Source organism: Homo sapiens, chromosome 15 (assembly GCF_000001405.40).
Source record: "Homo sapiens chromosome 15, GRCh38.p14 Primary Assembly".
Taxonomy (NCBI): domain Eukaryota; kingdom Metazoa; phylum Chordata; class Mammalia; order Primates; family Hominidae; genus Homo; species Homo sapiens.
The window spans coordinates 79,012,467-79,028,838 of NC_000015.10; the positions used below are offsets into that span (position 1 = coordinate 79,012,467).

A 16,372-nucleotide genomic window follows, 5' to 3' on the forward strand; every position below is an offset into this window, starting at 1 on the left:
TTCCCGAGGACGGAGACCCCACCTGCTCATTTCTGCTTCCCTGGTCCCCTCCCTGGTCCTCCTGTGAAGAAAACCAGGCTTTAGATTGGTAAGCAGATGGGTCCTTGAAGTTGTAAGTTTAATCTGGACATTCCATTCACTTTATCACCATCATTATTCAAAATTTTGTTATTTTTTTCTTTCATAGGTGATTTTAATTTTATTTTTGTTTCATCCGCACTCTCTCTTTTTTTTGAGACAGAGTTTCACTCTGTCACCCAGGCTGGAGTGCAGTGGTGAGGTCTCGGCTCACTGCAACCTCTGCCTCCTAGGCTCAAGTGATGCTCTCGCCTCAGCCTTCTGAGTAGCTGGGATTACAGGCGCATGCCACCAGGCCTGGCTAATTTTTGTATTTTTAGTAGAGACGAGGTTTCACCATGTTGGTCAGGCTGGTCTTGGACTCCTGACCTTAAGTGATCCACCCACCTCGGCCTCCCAAAGTTCATCTGCTCCTTTTGCTGTCTCAATGGGCACCCTTTCCAGAGCATGAGTGGGTACTCACTAAACATATAATGGTAATTGAGTGGGTACTCACTAAACATATAATGGTAATTCCAGCTGTGAGTTTTATTGGATTATTGAAACGGATCTAGGAAGTAGGTAGGTAGGTATTATCATGTCCCCCATTTACAACGTGAGAAACCCAAGCTCGGAAAGGTTAAGCGACTTGTCCATATTCACACACAAAGCTAGGGCTGGGGACCAGGTTTACATACAAAGCTGGGGCTGGGGACGAGGGTCACACACAAAGCTAGGGCTGGGGACCAGGGCTGTTGCCTTCAAGGCCAGACCTTTCTGCTGTACCCCACCACCTGTTCAGTGATGTAGTCATGAGGGGAATAATTCCTTATCAACTTGTGCAGAGGCTTAAAGACCTGGTGGACCTGAAACTGCCTCGGCTAGCTCCTGGCACACAGTAGGTTCATAAAGGACTCACTTCATCAGACTTGACTTCAGAGTGGTGGCGAGTGGAAACAAAGGATTTCACACATTAAATCATATTCTGCATTAAACGCATTACATCTGCAGTTCCCCAGAGCATGTATGTGAAGTAGCAAACAGGCCTGGGTTACCCAGATGATTGTTCTGGCAACAGCAACATGGCCCAGATGGGAGCAGAGTCCTAGCGTGCACCAGATGAGCAAGGCAGGCTCAGAATTCAGAGGTGGGAATGGAGGCCAGAGAGCCAGTGGGCTCCAGGGTTGGGGCAGGAAGGAGTGTGTGGTGAGGGGGTTAGGCGTGCAGGTGACTGCAAGAGAATTGTGCCTGGTGCAGGTGAGGGAGGCTGTATTACCCAGGGCTTGGAGAGCTGCGTTTAGTAGGACATTGTCTCTGGGGATTGTTCAAACAAACACAGTGGTCCTGGAGCCTGCGTTTTGGTTTTTCTGGTTTTTGAAATGTTCTATATATTCATTTTTTAATTAGGAAGAGAAAAATAGTTATTAAAAAAGAGTACATAAAGTTTCATTCCTAATGTTATATTTTAAACAACCTAATACAGAAATAATCCACATGTACAAAACAGATGAACCATAACAAAACTAAGCCAAAGCACCATAATAAAAAAAATTTTTAAAAATAGATGTTGGCATGGATGTGGTGAAAAGGTAAGACTTCTGTAACCCTTCTACACTGCTGGTGGGAATGAAAACTAGCACAACCACTATGGAAATCAGTGTGGAGATTCCTTAAAGAAGGAAAAGTGGAACTACCATTTGATCCAGCAACCCCACTACTGGGTATCTACTCAGAGTAAAAGAAGTCATTACGCAAAAAAGATCCTTGCTCATGCATGTTTATAGCAGCACAATTTGCAAAAATGTGGAACTAACCCAAATGTCCATCAATCAATGAGTGGATAAAGAAATTGTGTTATATTTATATGATGGAATACTACTTGGCCATAAAAGGGAATGAATTAATGGCATTCACAGAAACCTGGATAGGACCGGAGACTATTATTCTAAGTGAAATAACTCAGGGATGGAAAACCAAACATTGTATGTTCTCATTCATAAGTGGGACCTAAGATATGAGGATGCAAAGGCATAAGAATGACACAGTGGACTTTGGGGACTCAGGGGGAAAGGGTAGGAAGGCGGTGAGGGATAAAAGACTACAAATTGGAGCCGGAGGCGGTGGCTCACACCTGTAATCCCAGCACTTTGGGAGGCTGAGGCAGGCAGATCACGAGATGGTCAGGAGATCGAGACCATACTGGCTAACATGGTGAAACCCTGTCTCTACTAAAAATACAAAACATTAGCCAGGCATGGTGGCACACGCCTGTAGTTCCACCTACTCAGGAGGCTGAGGCAGGAGAATTATTTGAACCCGGGAGGCAGAGGTTGCAGTGAGCTGAGATTGCACCACTGTACTCCAGCCTGGGTGACAGAGCAAGACTTGGTCTCAAAAAAACAAAAAACAAAAAACAAAAAACAAAAAACAAACAAAACAAAACAAAACAAAAAAAGGCTACAAATTGGGGTTCAGTGTATACTGCTGGGGTGACGGGTGCACCAAAATCTCACAAACCACCACTAAAGAACTTACTCATGTAACCAAATATCACCTGTTCCACAAAACCTATGGAAATAAAAAATTTAAAAAAAAAACCCAAAAAACTAAGCCAAAGCAATCATCCAAATAGCAATCACCCAACTCAAAACAAACAAACAAGAAAACATCCAAAACACCCCCAAAGACAAAGCCCAGCATCTCTGAACCCCAGTAGCTGGCTCATCCCAGTGTCCTGGCTGTCACCTTGTGGTACTCAGTCTCTGGAATGCTGCCTGGTCAAGATGGGGTTAAGGGCACTTACTTGATCATCTGCGGCACAGTGACCTTGGAATTTTCTTCAAATGCGTTCATCATGAGCCCATTGCATCGGATGTTATCCACACACTGGAATCAGAGAGAGGACCCCAGGGTCAGAGCTCTCCATTCCTGGACCCAGGCCCACCAGGAGCTCTGCCAACTGTAAAGTTCACATGCCTCAGTCTGATACAGGGTCCTCAAGCTTCAAGGGCATTGTCCTGGCAAAGGCAGGGTCAGCGTGGCGCATCCTTTAGACTTTGGCCGGAAGTCAAGTCTCAGTTGAATGACCTTGGGGAACTTACTTGACCTCAAGTCTTAGTTTCATTATATGCAAAGTGGGGATAATGACTTCTACCTCACTGGGTTGATTACAAACAACCACTGGGATGCAAAATGAATGCATCTGACACTGACCATTCTGTTGCTGACCTCTGGGGTCCAGTGTCAAGGACAAGATCAGATCCATGGTGATGTGGGATCTCTCTCCTGGGAGGCCAGCCCAGCAGGGCCTCTGCGCCACTGCACGAGGGTGCTGAACTGTTCTCTCTGTCCTCTGACCACCACAGTGCCAACACTTGGATGCTGTGGATGGTTTTCCATATGAAGAGTCCATGGGTGTGGGGCCCTGGAGAAGGCAAGGCTGCTGGCGGGAGGGGCACAGATGATTGTACATTTCACTCGGCCTCCAAAAATATTCAAAATCCAAATTTTGCTTTGAATAGGAAGTACCCGCCCAAACAAAAATAAAAACTGCATCTCTTGGGGGAGCTGCCTCTTTTCCCCTGCACTGTCCCCTGCCCTGGGTCTTCACATTTCTGCCATGAGAGGGTTTCTTCTTGGCATAGCGATAGGGAAGGCTTGGTGGCACATCACAGAATCTTCTGGTTTTGAGAATGTGTGTGTTGCAGGGAGGAGGGTGTCAAAGTCATTGGGAAGTGGCAGCTGAGAGCTGGCACAGTGGGTGGTGGAGCTCCCAGGCCCAGACTTCTGGGCAAGGCCACGACCCCAAAGAGGGAGGCTTCTGTCATTTGCATTTCTCAGCCCCACTTCTCCCACCCATCTGACAATCTCTCTAGCTTTGGTTCTACCAGCAACTCCAAAACAAAGAAGACTTGGCCATGGGCTCAGAGTGTTATGGAGGCAGGAGGGCTTGGGGAAGGGGCCAGAGGACTCCCACCTTGACCCCTTCACTGGCATCCACAACGGCTGCCAGGAGGGCAGAGGCCTGGTGGGCACCCTCTGGGCAAGCAGCCCCAGGCCTTTGACGGCTGCGGCTCACTGGGGATGTGAAAGGGCAAAGCTCAGGGTCTGCAGTTTTCTCTAGGGCTTTCTGGGTGTTTTGAAGACATGTGGGAAGACTCAGAACAGGCACGTGCCATGCATCATCCCACCCGCCTTACTCCTCTGGGACTGCGAGATGGGCAGGTGGGCCAGAAGGAAGGCTGGGAGCGGCAGTCAGGGGAGCCTGGAAGGGGCACAAAACCAAGAAGGTGGGGAGCAAGCAAGGGAAGCCGTCCTAGGTCCCACGAAGATGCTGCCCTGCCCTTTCAGTTTCTACAGGCACAGGCCTCCTGCAACCCTCTAGACCATGGGGGGCCACCAACCTCCCTCCCCTTCTGCTGTTGGCTGCTCTCCTACCACCCCACCCCGCAGAGAGGATGGCCAAGGCTCCCAGCTGCTGGGATGGCACATCCCTGACCCATCACAGGCCCTTGCTGGGCTCAGGGAGGGGCCTGTCCTGGGGCCTAAACCCCGGTGCTGCTGACAGCCTCTTTATAGACTCAAGTCTCACCCCTTGTACTTTAGGCACCCATGGGCATTCTGGGTCTGCTCACTGGTGCCTGGAAAAGTCTGTGCTTCCTGCTTAATGCTCCAAATAGGGTGAATGACCCTAATGCTTACAGCAGGCCAAAGCAAAACTAAATCTTCCGTGTGCATAATTGAGGCTGGGTTTGATCTTAGGTAGCTGCCCCGACTCACTGAAGAAGCTACCCTTGGCTTTCAGGGACACCGTTCTCTCGCTGTGAACATTATTACATCTAATATGTTCAGACTTTTCTGTGCGTATCAATGACCTGGGGCATGTACTAAAATGCGGATTTACAGGTCACATGCCAACAATTTAGATCTGTAGGTCTGCAGGATAGTGGGGAAAGGGGAGAAGGGTCCAGGAAACTGAAGTTTTTAAAATCACCTTGCTAGGTGATACAGATGCAAGAGGGGTTTCCAGACCACACTTTCAAGGTGACCCAGGGGACTACAAACGGGATGGACTAGCTGAGCTCAGCTTTGGGTAGGGCTGTGGACTTGGAAGATTCTTGCATCTTTCTCTGTAGAACAGTGCAGCTACTCCACCACCCCCACCCCCTACCTGCCACCAGCCAAATCCCTGACCTGGTTAGGCATGAAGGGACCACTCGCTTTCAGGAACAGGTGACGCTACTCACCTGGCTGATGTCACTGGTCCACGCTGCCTTCTCCTGTCTGGACGAGGCCACTAGGATGACTGTAAAGGGCGGGGAATCCTTTGGCTCCACCCCGATTTTAAAATCCAAGTGATCTATGTCTTGGCCGGATCCTTTGGCTTCCAGTTGTAAAACATAAAGTTAGCAGCATGAATGTGGACGCCTTTTCAGGTGGAAAATGTTTTAGTGGTCCCTGTCGTACGTACCAGTGGAGGCTCTGCGTTGGTAAGGCACCAGGCCAATTGCTGCTACTTTCAGAATATTATTTTCCTAAGTGGGAAATCCCCATTTCAAAGATGGAAGAACTAAGACGTAGCTTACAACCACTCAGGGGCAGTTCCGGATTCAGAGCAGGAGAGCCTTTAGGAATCACAGTCTGCCCTCTGCCCTCATTACACCAATGGAGGTGAGGTCACGGGCGAGGACTTGCCCAAGGCTCCCAGCAGGGTGGTGGCCAAGCCAGGGCAGGGCTAGAATGGGCCTCTCAGCCAGGCCCTCCTGCTACCCCAAGGTGGTTCTGGGGCCAAATGAGGAACTTCAAGGTCTTAAACTTTTATGGATTGGGCTGGACATTTAGTTCAGTTTAGAGCTCCCCAAAGCAAAAGTGAATTCTAGGTATTTTTGTTACTGCTCTTAACCTGAAAGTCCCTTGAAGTCTTGAAAGCTGTTTATTTGGAAAAACTAAAACCACAGCTTCAAGATTCTTTTCAATGCACTCACATTAATTAGGGGTGCACTGAATGGGTTCATGGTGTAAAGGGCCTGCTTTGGTTCTGCTTTGCTCCAAAGCTCTATGGCTGTGTGATGTTGAGGTGGTTTCCTTCCCCCTCTGGGCTTCAGATGTCCTCCTGTGCAACAGGAGTGGGACTTGATTTCTCTGAGGTTCCTGTCCCTTCCAGTTCTGACACCTGAGAATTTTAGGAGTCCTTGCTGGGCACGAGGGAGCCCATTCTCCTGGGACTGTGCTGGAGTCTCTGAGAAGTGGGTGCCTGTGTGTGGGTGTGTTTCAGGTGGGGAACGCTTGTGGCCAGGATCCCACCTCCCTGGGCCTAGGAGGGTAAAGAGTTTTGGGGCCTGACAGTGCCACTTGAGCCTGGGTTTTCCTGTGGACCTGCTGTGGCCAAGATGAAAGAAGGCTGCACTGGTAGGAAGGCTCCAGGTAAGCTGCCTCCTCGTTTATTCTTCCCTTGGGGAACCACTTGATTTGGCCCTTATTGGAAGGGCATGAGGGGAGCAGAACCCAGTGGTAACAGGGGCTGAACAGGGTGTGTGCATGAGGGCGTGTGTGTGTGTGTGTTTGCCAAGCGTGTGTGTGGCAACCCCCAGGCCCATGCCCATCCCCATGCCATGCTGGGCCTGTGATGCTGAGGTGCTTCAGACACAGCCCACCCCAGGAGGCCCAGTCTGAGGAGGGAAAAGAGCACGGGTCCTGCTGGTGTCCCCACAGGGCAGGGCATCCAGAGACATCTCTGAGGGTCTTGGCTTGGGGTCAGTGAAGAAGGGAAATGAGTGCCAACTTTGGCCCAATCAAGAGAGAGTAGTGATCCCACCCCCTAATCTGAATAATGACCCCACCTCCAATTCTGATGCCTTGGGAGATAAATCCCATCAAACATCACAGCACCAAGGACTCTGCCCTCCGCACACTTCCCCATTCAGCCCCATTTGAGTTGTTCAGCCCCTTCTCACCGAGGTCTTGCCTCCCCTCCTGGCCCCTGCAAGGGCATGGTTCTCTCTCTCAGGACCCTCAGCCCTGCAATCCCTCTGTCAGTGGCCCCTGCACATTCTTTCCTTTTCCACTGCAGGACAGAGATAGGGCTGGGTGTGTCCCTGGCTTCCAGCACATGGCCCCAAGAGCCCTTGTGCATGTCACACACAGGTGTGTGAATGAGGGGTGCTCACTGAGATGCTGTGACCCCAAAACCTAACAGTGCCAACTGGTCCAGCAGCCCAGGGAGCTTGGAACGAACCAGGAAGGTGGATCAGGGTCATCACCTGCCGGGCTGGGAGCTCTTTCTTTAAAGCCTCAGGCTCTGGCCTCTCCACACCTTATTGGAAGTACAAGGGGAGCAAAGCCCAGCTGTAGCAGGGACTGAACAGGGTGTGTGCATGAGGGCATGTGTGGACCTCCCCTCCGCACTTCAGCATCCTCCATTCCTCCCAAAGAAACTAATGCCTGGCCCAACCTTTAGGAGTGAGCGTGTGTGTATCTGTGCAAGCACACACATGCGCACATGCAGCTTTCACACTCACCTTCCTCCTCCGTGCTTTCTGGCTCCTCCAATAAAGTGCAGTCAATGAGGGATATGACTCCATTCTGAAAAAGAGCAGCAGGGGCTGCTTTGGATTGAGGGGTAGATATGCTGGTTTAGGAGTCCCTGGATGATAGGGTTGGAGGGGACTTTAACAAGGAGCATCCATGTATACACACAGATGTATGGATGGATATATTATATGCCAAGTGGGTATTTTGCTTTTTCAGTGGAAGGACTTTATCTTCATATAAGAAGCTCAATGAAGTGGGTCAAAGGAGATTGTCTCAGAGAGGCCTTCCCCAAACCAAGGTTGAGTTCTGGCCATGGGTGGAGCGGACAGAACCTGGCCTGCTTGGCCCCTTCTTGCTTCCACAGCAGCTCCAGGGCATCGCTTCATAGCCCTAAATCTGCAGAGGTTTGAAATCCCCCGTTTTAGGCCAAAGCTATCAGGTTACCCACAGGAAGACAGAGGCTGGTCTTATGGGTATTGTAATTCTCATTTTACAGGTGAAGAAATGAAGACAGAGAAGTTGCATGTCTTGTTCAAGGTCCGCTGGCAAGTTAGCAGTGAGTCTGGAGAGAGCCTCAAGGGCCCGATCCCAGTCCTGGTCAGTTACTTATTTTAATTATTAGGAATACCTGGAAAAATGCCTCCCATCCATGAGTGTGGGAGCATCTCTTGGGTAGGAGGTCCCTTAACATTGTAGTGAGAAATAAGAGTGGCCACAGCTGTGGTGGTTGTAAGACATGTTCACAAATTCTTTCACATTTTTCTTTTCAAAAGGCAAAGCCTAATTCCCTTCCTCTTGAGTGTGAGCTGGACTTAGTGGCTTACATCTAATTAAAAGAATAAATCAGAAGTGATGGTGTGCCACTTTGGAGACCACATTCTCCTGCTTGCTCTCTTGCTGTCTCTTGCATCACCTGTTGTGGGGGACACCAACTGGCATGTTGTGGGGAGAGGTCTATGAATGAGGAACTGAGGCCTCCAGCCAACAGCCATGGAGGCATATCATCTTGGAAAAGGATACCCCGGCCCCAGTTGAACCTTCGGAACACTGCAGCCCCAGCTGACATCTTGACTGCAAACCCCTGAAATGCCCTGAGCCAAGACCACCCAGGTAAGTAGCTCCTGATTTCCTGACCCACAGAAATTGTGAGGTAATAAATGTTTGTTTTAAGCTACTACATTTGGAGGTAATTTGTTACACAGCAACAGATAAAGTAAAACAATAATGAATGATAATGGAGACCTGGCCATGTGACTAATCTATATATGAAAATGCTTGCAGAGCAGGCTGCCCCTTGGGAGGCAAAGTGGACCACCAAACCCTGTGTTTGACTTCTTGCTTTGCTCTTTGGTGGCCTTGGGTTAGCCCCCAGGACTAACCCACTGGGCCTCAAGCTTGCCCAGTGATGTCACTGAGCTTGATCATTTTGAAAGCCCCATCTAGCTCTGACATTCTCTTACTTCAGGGTCTCAAAAATTCTTACAGTCATTTTAAATCTTGCAGATCTGTAGTCTGCCCCCTTCAGAAAGGACTTAAGGCATTCTATTGCCACTTGGATATTTCAAGAGAAGTGATTTGAATTTTAGCTTATGGCTATTGGAGACTAGAGCATAGTGATTAAGAACACAGACTCTGGAGCCAGACTGGCTGGGTTCAAATCCCAGCCCTGCCACGTGCTGGCTTCTTCTGTCTCACTTCCCTTGTCTATATAAAATGGGGAAAATGGTAGTATCCGTCTCAGTGGGCTGTTCTGGGAATTAAATATACATAATGTATTTGAGCGAGTTCTTGCCCCATAGTAAGCATTATGCAAGGATTGATGTTATAAATACAAGTTCGTTATTCATAATTAAGAGTGACAATGTCTGTTATCCAGTGAGCACTGAGCGTGTACCTGACACGAGAACTCCCTCACTTACTCCTCACAGCACTCCTGTAAAGGAGGTATTTCTACACCCTTTATGCAGATAAGGAAACTGAAGCCTGATGAGGCCATGTGACTTGTCTGAGGTCACCTACTGGTGGGTGGCAGTGCTGGGATTTGAGTTGATTTCTGATTCCATGCTCTTTGCCAATGTGCTAAGAGACTTTTAAAACTAAAAACAGCTGGGTGCGGTGGCTCACGCCTGTAATCCCAGCACTTTGGGAGGCTGAGGCTGGTGGATCACCTGAGGTCAGGAGTTTGAGACCAGCCTGACCAACATGGTGAAACCCCGTCTCTACTAAAAATACAAAAATGAGCCAGGCATGGTAGCGGGTGCCTATAATTCCAGCTACTCGGGAGGCTGAGGCAGGAGAATCTCTTGAACCTGGGAGGCAGAGGTTGCAGTGAGCCGAGATTGCGCCATTACACTCCAGCCTGGGTGACAAGAGCGAAACTCCACCTCAAAAACAAACAAACAACCCCCCCCCAAAAACCCCCACAAAAAAACTAATCACAAACAAGCAAACAAACAGAAAACTCCAGATAAAATAAAACTAACATAAAAACATGCTTTTGGATTTTCAGAGCCTTCGTGTCTTCAGTTTAACCTGCCTCCACTGACCCCCGCCACACCCCCAGCCTAGACAGAGATCTTATCAGTAGAAACTCCAGAGCTAATAAATAATGAAAGCGTTCCTTGACACATAATTTGGTTAAAACAGAAGTATTCAATATTTGTAAATTAATTTCCCCTTGTGCAGCCAACCAGCTAATTTGTGGCCATGTGAACATAAGCAACATATTCCCTGAAGCCATTGCTGGGTATGTTAGCTCTGCAGGAGGTTATGGGCCAGGCATCCAGGGTCTGGAAGAATGGTTTATCTGATGCTGTGGCTTAATTAAGAGCACCCTCTGGGCCGGGCGCGGTGGCTCACGCCTGTAATCCCAGCACTTTGGGAGGCCGAGGCAGGCGGATCACAAGGTCAGGAGATCGAGACCATCCTGGCTAACACGGTGAAACCCCATCTCTACTAAAAATACAAAAAATTAGCCGGGCATGGTGGTGGGCTCCTGTAGTCCCAGCTACTTGGGAGGCTGAGGCAGGAGAATGGGGTGAACCCAGGAGGCAGAGTTCCCAGTGAGCCGAGATCACGCCACTGCACTCCAGTCTGGGCGATAGACTGAAACTCCGTCTTGGGGAAAAAAAAAAAAAGCACCTTCTGGCCCTTTCCAGGCCACAGTGTGTTCAGGCTTCCAAGGTGATGAATGCAGGGCTGGAGGGACTGTAGCTTACAGAGGCAAGTGCTTCCTAATTGACAGCAAATCCACATCCACTGTGAGCTCACTGCTAACTTATCTGTGCAATGTCTCTGTGAGGGTCAATGTCCTTATTTGATAGAGGAAGTGTGGACAGGGGCAGGAGTCTTTTCCAGGGTCACATGTGTGTGAGGGATGGAGCTGGGACTGATGCTGAGCTCACAGCAATGAGACAAGTAGTGGGCTGTGTCGGGGGACAGGAGATCCTGCCCAGGCCACAGGCTTTACAGCAGAGGTAGCACTTGAACAGGCCTTGAGGCATGTTAAGGTGGTCTGCCAGGGGAGAGGAGGCTGTGTGGCTGAACAGACAGCATGAGCAAAGGCCCTCGGCCTATGAGGAGTCAGGAGGGGGTCTGAGATGCTCATTCCCTCCCCCTTTAGGGATGAGCTGGTTAGCTGAGCATCAGGGTCTCATGCAGGGCCGCAAGGTCCTGAGGCTCTGTGTGGAGCAGCTCAGCAGCCTCCAGGTCTCCTGTGCTGGAGGAGGGGACACCTGAGAAGGTCACTGGAAGGGGCTCTGTCAGAGCTCCTTTGGGGTGGAGATGAAAGAAAAGCTCCAAGTGATGCCTTGGCCCTCAGCCAGTGGAGGCCCTCTACCCTGCCCTTCACACACACCACACACAGACACAGACACACACACCACACACACAGATACAAAAACACATACCACACACACAGACACACAAACACATATCTCACACATAGACACACACAGATACACACATCACACACACACACACATACAAACACACACACACACATACACATACACACACATATACACACCACACATACATCACACATACATACACAGAGACACATGTACACAAAAACATACACCACACACAGACACACACACATATACACATATACCACACCCACCCACCACATACATACATATAAACATACACGGATATACACATAGACACACAGACACATACCACACACATATCCACCACACCTGTACACAGAAAGACAATACATATACACACATACATATGCCATATACCATACACACACACACAATGAACACACACAAATGCACAGAGACACAACACACATAGAGGCAAACACATACACACACTATACACAAATACACACATCATATACACAAATATATACACACACATGCATACACACACCACACACACAGACACAAACACATATACACATACATACATACTGATATGGTTTGGCTGTGTCCCCACCCAAATCTCATCTTGAATTTTAGCTCCCATAATCCCCATGTGTCATGGGAGGGACCCAGTGGGAGGTAATTGAATCATGGGGGTAGATTTTTCCCATGCTATTCTTGTGATATTGAATAAGTAACACAAGATCTGATAGTTTTGTAAAGGGCAGTTCCCCTGCACATGGTCTCCTTCCTGCTGCCATGTAAGACATGCCTTTGCTCCTCCTTTGCCTTCCACCATGATTGTGAGGCCTTCTCAGCCATGTGGAACTGTGAACCCATTAAACCTCTTTTTCTTTGTAAATTACCCAGTCTCAGGTATTTCTTCATAGCAGTATGAAAATGGACTAATACACACAGAGAGATATAAACACATACAGACACACACACATATATATACACACCACGCACACATACACACACACGCATATACACATACACACACACCACATATACAAACACACAGACACAAAAACACCACACATACATACACACAAACACACACAGACACACACACATGCACACACACATGCCTTTTAGGGGTCTGTCCAGGCCCTCTGGCTCCTCTGCCCAGGTGCCCAGTGTGGGGAATCTGAAGCCCTCGATTCTCACCTTCCCATCTCCCAGGATTTCCCTAGTGGAAAATCGGTCAAGTTCTGCTCTCTCCAGCTGGCCAAACTATGGGTTGTGTGTATATCTGTGTGTGTGTGCATGCACACGTCTCTGACACCCCTGCCCACCACCTGGGCCCATAGACCCTCTGGCCAGGACAGCGCCTGCATGACCCTAGCTGGGCAGCCCCCAAGCCCCTCTCCCGTAGCCCTTACCTTGGTCAAGTGAAGCTTCCCTCCAGAGCCTCTGGTACAGATAATCAGATGCTTAGAAAACAGGAAGCACTGTCGCTCGCCCTCTTTCTTTAGGGAGAGAGACCCCAGGCGCCCCCTGGTGATCTTGCCCTTTTCAGACATGGGCACCTGAATGAGGGAACCTGTGGGTGGAGGAGAGAGACCCTGAGCCCATCTCCTGGGGTGACCTTTGCCTCTGACCCAGCCTTGAAGGTTGAGATGCTGGGGCAGCAGCAGTGGGACAAGTCCATTCTGTTTCCCAGTAGCAAATGTGCCCCTGGGATACTCCTTTAGGCCTCTCTGCAGGGCCAGATGGCTGAGGGATGAGAGGTGATCAGAGAAGCTCCATGCAGGGCCCACTGACATCCCAGCCAGGGGCTAGGGGCTAAGCAAGCAAAGGAACCCCAAAGGGCATGGCCCATGTGGTGAGAATGAAGGGCTGGGCTGAGGTCTGGGGATGGCAGGGAGCTGAACAAGTGGGGAGCTGGCTGCAGGCCCCGAGGGGTTAACAAGATACATTGCACTCCTGCTGGGAACTACTTAGGGCAAACCCTGCCTCCCATCCTACTTGTAAAAAAGATAGCTACTAAGATTTAAAAAAAAAAAAAAAAAAGATACATTGCACTCCTGTTGTCCACAGCCATGGCAGGCATCACCAATCAATCACTGCACCATACTGCAGAGCCCAGACAGAGCTTCTCAGTCCTCAGCACAGCACTCTAGGAAGCCATTACTGAGCAGAGTAGGTGCCTGTCATGAAAGCCATTGCTGCCCTACTCTGGTGTACCCACCCTAATACATACCCTTCAGGCCCCCTCCCCACTGAGGTCCACAGCTCCTCACTGTTCCCAGGATTCAGGCACTTGAGGCCTCCCAGTGGTCTGGCTTGGGCACACCTCCCAGCCTGCACTCTTACCATTGTCCCCTTCTTCTGCCTCACATGTAGTTCTGGGTCAAGTTAGCCTGAGTGTCACTCTTAGTTCTGAAAAGCCCTTCCTTCACTCTGTCTTCCCTGTGAATTCCTGCTTATCCTTGGGAAAGCCCTCGTGACTCTCTTGGTCCTGCTCCAGGCCACCACTCTGCCTCCTGCATCAGGGAGATCCACCTGGCACCTGGTGTTCCTGCGTTTGTCCCCTCATGACTCTCTTCCTCTGTACCATAGGCTTCCGGAGGGCAGGGCTGAGGCTGTTCTCTGAGTGTCCCCAGAACCCCCTGTACGTCTGGCATGAGCAGGGCAGGTATCAGTGCTGGCTGCATGACTGACAAGTGAGAAACGCCTTGCAGAATCCACTCATTTTGTCTCCAGGTCCAGCCCGGCTGGAGAGGGAGAAAATGCCTTGACTCAGGGTGATGGAGCAGATTTCTGGTCTGTGGGGATACTGCCCACCCCAGGAGGGGTCATTTCTTGGGCTACTTCCAAGCCAGGTCCACTTGGGGTTCCTTCAGAGGGGGCCTAAAATACTGTGTGAGAATATTTCTGGCACAGAGAATGCCCAACACAGCCCAAGGGGAGCTGAGAAACAGGCAGGGCTGGCTCTGAGCTCAGCAGGTCACAGGGTGGGCCTGGGGAAGGATGTAGGGGCCACCACACACAGGGGCTGGGACAAAACTCCGAAAAGGTGATACCCTTGTCCAAGGCAGCTGCACAGGCCAGCGGGAGGCGCTGGCAAGTATTTCGTTAGGCAGAGAATCCCAGGGCTACAGAGAAGGGACTCTGGAGGTCCGTTTGAGGTGGAGGTCACCTGTGAGGCATGCCAGCAGGAGCTGAGTCTCCCACAAAACATGGAAGTTGAATGTGATGAATTTCAAATGCATTGCAGTTCTGATGTCAGTCCCCTGAGCCACAGAGAGCCTTCACCCACCCCTCTCAACGGGGCCGTGCCTCTCAAACACTGCTCCCAAGGTAAGCGAGGCTGAAGCTTGGGAAAGACCTTCTACCCATGAGAACCACTGTGAAAATGGTCTCTCCAAAGCAGCAGAGGATGATGAGGAAAGGACAGGGGAATGGACCCAACACTGACCTCCTCCCAGACACTGAAAACGCTTCTGACTCACAGAGACAACTGTTAGCTCCTCATCCCCCGCCCCATACTTTCTCCCCAAAAAGGACATGTCGATGTTTACTATGACATACAATAGACAAACCAAGGCCATCTGGGTAGAATTCTGTTTACATCTGGAGAGAAGGAAACTGTGAAAACCAATAATATCTGCATCTATATGTATAGATACTGACATCTACATATAGCTGTTGCATTCCGCCAGCAGCCTGGGAATATTCTGCAATCACATTGGCAGGTCTTGGCATGTGGCAGCCAAACCAACTGGTGGCGTCCCCGAGTGCCGCCTCCCTCCCGCTGCTGGGGCCCACCTGGTGGGGGCAGGGGAGACAGGGTGCAGAGGCCATACCTTGTCTCACAAAGGTCTGGCTGGTGTCCAGGAGGATCTCACAGCCTTCGATGATCATGCGCTCGATGGCCAGGTTTTTCCGGATGTTCTCCGTCTCACTTACTTCATCGTGCATTATTCTGTGGGGATGGGAAACTGCACAGTCAGAGACAGGCTGCCCCTACTTCCCAGGGAGGCGAGAATGCCAGGCTTCTGGCCAGACCTAGGAAGAAAGCCTGGCACAAGGATTCTCAGGTGGAGTCTGTGGTCATGGAGGGGAAGGGAGTGTGCATTTACTGAGTGCCTGCTGCATGCCGGGCACTTCATAGGCACGACCTCATTTTATCCTTCTGACAGCTCAAGGAGGCAAGTGTTCTTATTTCAGAAAAAAGAAAACTGAAGTCAGCAGCTATGAAGCACATCTGTCAGATTTTACAGTCTGAACTATGTAGAACAGACAGCAGGTGCAGCTCAGCACTGGGAAGGATATGGGAGCACAGGAGACATCCTGTGTTCATGACCCTGACCCTCATCCTTCTACCAGCCTTATTCCCATCCCAAGAGCAAAGCTCATTACTCCCTCAGGGCCTTTGCACTTGCTGTCTCTTCTTCTTGAATGCTCTTTCTCCAAATATTTGCATAATTGTGTCCTTAATATCGCTTGGGCCCTGAAATGGCTTACCTTTTGGAGCACCTGGCAATCCCGCTGGCTCAGGGGATGACTGACCTTAGCCTACTTCTGTAGGCTCTGGCCCTTCTGGGAGGGAATATAGACAACTCCCCTATTTCGCTCTCCGACTGCTGTAATACCCCTCCTCTCCAAGAGATGGCGCCATCCAATAGCTTTTACAAAATGGCGTTGGTGGGAAAAGGTGGGTGTTAGCTGCCAATTTTGCCTTGGTGGGTTTCCAGGAGTCTTGGGAAGGTAGAGGGGAATTTGGCAGTGGCAGGGTCTGGGGAGTGGGGAAGGGGGGCTTCTGGCAAAAGTACCCCACCTACTCCAAGCAAAGTACAAAACCTTTTATCTGCTGCTGATGCCTGAATTTCCACAGTTAAGACCAACAAGAAGGCTGGTTAATATGTGCGGCTTACAAACTTCTCTCATAGACATTATTCAAT

The 16,372-nt window shown here is 49.9% G+C and overlaps 1 protein-coding gene across 7 annotated transcripts in view; it reads right to left on the reverse strand.

Annotated features, from left to right (window-relative positions):
• Nucleotides 1-16,372, reverse strand: part of RASGRF1 (Ras protein specific guanine nucleotide releasing factor 1) — a 130,875-nt gene that overhangs the window by 52,561 nt on the left and 61,942 nt on the right. For 4 of the 7 annotated variants that reach the window (NM_001145648.3, XM_017022456.3, XM_017022458.3 and 1 more), the window contains exons 9-13: nucleotides 15,275-15,393; nucleotides 12,848-13,008; nucleotides 7,575-7,638; nucleotides 5,304-5,440; nucleotides 2,861-2,943 (exon numbers count right to left, since the gene is read on the reverse strand). In NM_001145648.3, coding sequence (NP_001139120.1) covers nucleotides 2,861-2,943; nucleotides 5,304-5,440; nucleotides 7,575-7,638; nucleotides 12,848-13,008; nucleotides 15,275-15,393 — 564 coding nt within the window. Of the gene's footprint in view, nucleotides 1-22; nucleotides 62-2,860; nucleotides 2,944-5,303; nucleotides 5,441-7,574; nucleotides 7,639-12,847; nucleotides 13,009-15,274; nucleotides 15,394-16,372 lie in introns of all 7 variants that reach the window. The other 3 variants (XM_017022455.3, NM_002891.6, XM_011521866.4) reach the window with 1 other exon arrangement.